This window comes from Homo sapiens, chromosome 5 (genome assembly GCF_000001405.40).
Source record: "Homo sapiens chromosome 5, GRCh38.p14 Primary Assembly".
In the NCBI taxonomy this organism is placed as follows: Eukaryota; Metazoa; Chordata; class Mammalia; order Primates; family Hominidae; genus Homo; species Homo sapiens.
This window is the reverse complement of record NC_000005.10, coordinates 17,353,397-17,354,865: the sequence shown is the minus strand read 5'-3', so window position 1 is coordinate 17,354,865 and position 1,469 is coordinate 17,353,397. Positions and strand designations below refer to the sequence as shown.

Here is a 1,469-nt window from a genome sequence, read left to right as displayed (position 1 = left end):
TACATCCTATTTAATTTCATGTTGTATATTTTTAAGGACAAGAGAAGGAAAAGGAAAAAAAGTTCACTGAATGCTTCCTATGTGCCAGGCTCTGTGTAGGTTATCTTTTAATTCTCAGAGCAGGAGTGGTGGATGGTATTTTAGTCATTTCACAGTGGGGAAAATAGTGGTGATGGAAGTGAGTATCAGTGAGGATAACAGACTGCTTCAACTTAGCTTAAAAGTAGAGAGATGGACGTTCTTCCACGAGAGTCGTCGGGGTTTCCTGCTTCAACAGTGCTTGGACAGAACCTGGCGCTCGTCCCCCACACCGGCCGGCTGCCCATAGCCAGCCCTCCGTCACCTCCTCACCGCGCCCTCGGACTGCCCCAAGGCCCCCGCCGCCGCTCCAGCACTGCGCAGTCACCACCGCGAACGCAGCCGCCTCTCCTTAGTCGCCGCCATGACGACCGCGTCCACCTCACAGGTGCGCCAGGACTACCACCAGGACTAAAGGCCGCCATCAACCGCCAGATCAACCTGGAGCTCTACGCCTCCTGCGTTTACCTGTCCATGTCTTACTACTTTGACCGCGATGATGTGGCTTTGAAGAACTTTGCCAAATACTTTCTTCACCAATCTCATGAGGAGAGGGAACATGCTGAGAAACTGATGAAGCTGCAGAACCAAGGAGGTGGCCGAATCTTCCTTCAGGATATCAAGAAACCGGACTGTGATGACTGGGAGAGCGGGCTGAATGCGATGGAGTGTGCATTACATTTGGAAAAAAATGTGAATCAGTCACTACTGGAACTGCACAAACTGGCCACTGACAAAAATGACCCCCATTTGTGTGACTTCATTGAGACACATTACCTGAATGAGCAGGTCAAAGCCATCAAAGAATTGGGTGACCACATGACCAACTTGTGCAAGATGGGAGCACCCGAATCTAGCTTGGCGGAATATCTCTTTGACCAGCACACCCTGGGAGACAGTGATAATGAAAGCTAAGCCTCAGGCTAATTTCCCCATAGCCGTGGGGTGACTTCCCTGGTCACCAAGGCAGTGCATGCATGTTGGGGTTTCCTTTACCTTTTCTATAAGTTGTACCAAAACATCCACTTAAGTTCTTTGATTTGTACCATTCCTTCACATAAAGAAATTGGGTACCAAAAAAAAAAAAAAAAAAGTGAAGAGATAGGAGTCTCTCTCCAATACCTATATATACCCCTTCCCATTGTAGTGAACTACATCCCTCGGAATAAGGAGGTTACATTATTATTGAGTGGCAAGCCAAAACAATCATTTCACAGAATCCTTCATGCCAAATTAGATATCTATGCATGACACAGAACCTAGAAAGACTTGGGTTGTGTTTCAAAGAAAACTTCCCCCAAAAGAAAATGAAGATGATTCTATATTCATGCCATTTATAGCCATAGAAGATCATGATATCATCTTTTCTGAAGGATTTTTTTAAAATCACA

At 46.1% G+C, this 1,469-nt stretch overlaps 1 pseudogene; it reads left to right on the top strand.

Moving 5' to 3' along the window:
- Positions 235-1,153, top strand: FTH1P10 (ferritin heavy chain 1 pseudogene 10; annotated as a pseudogene).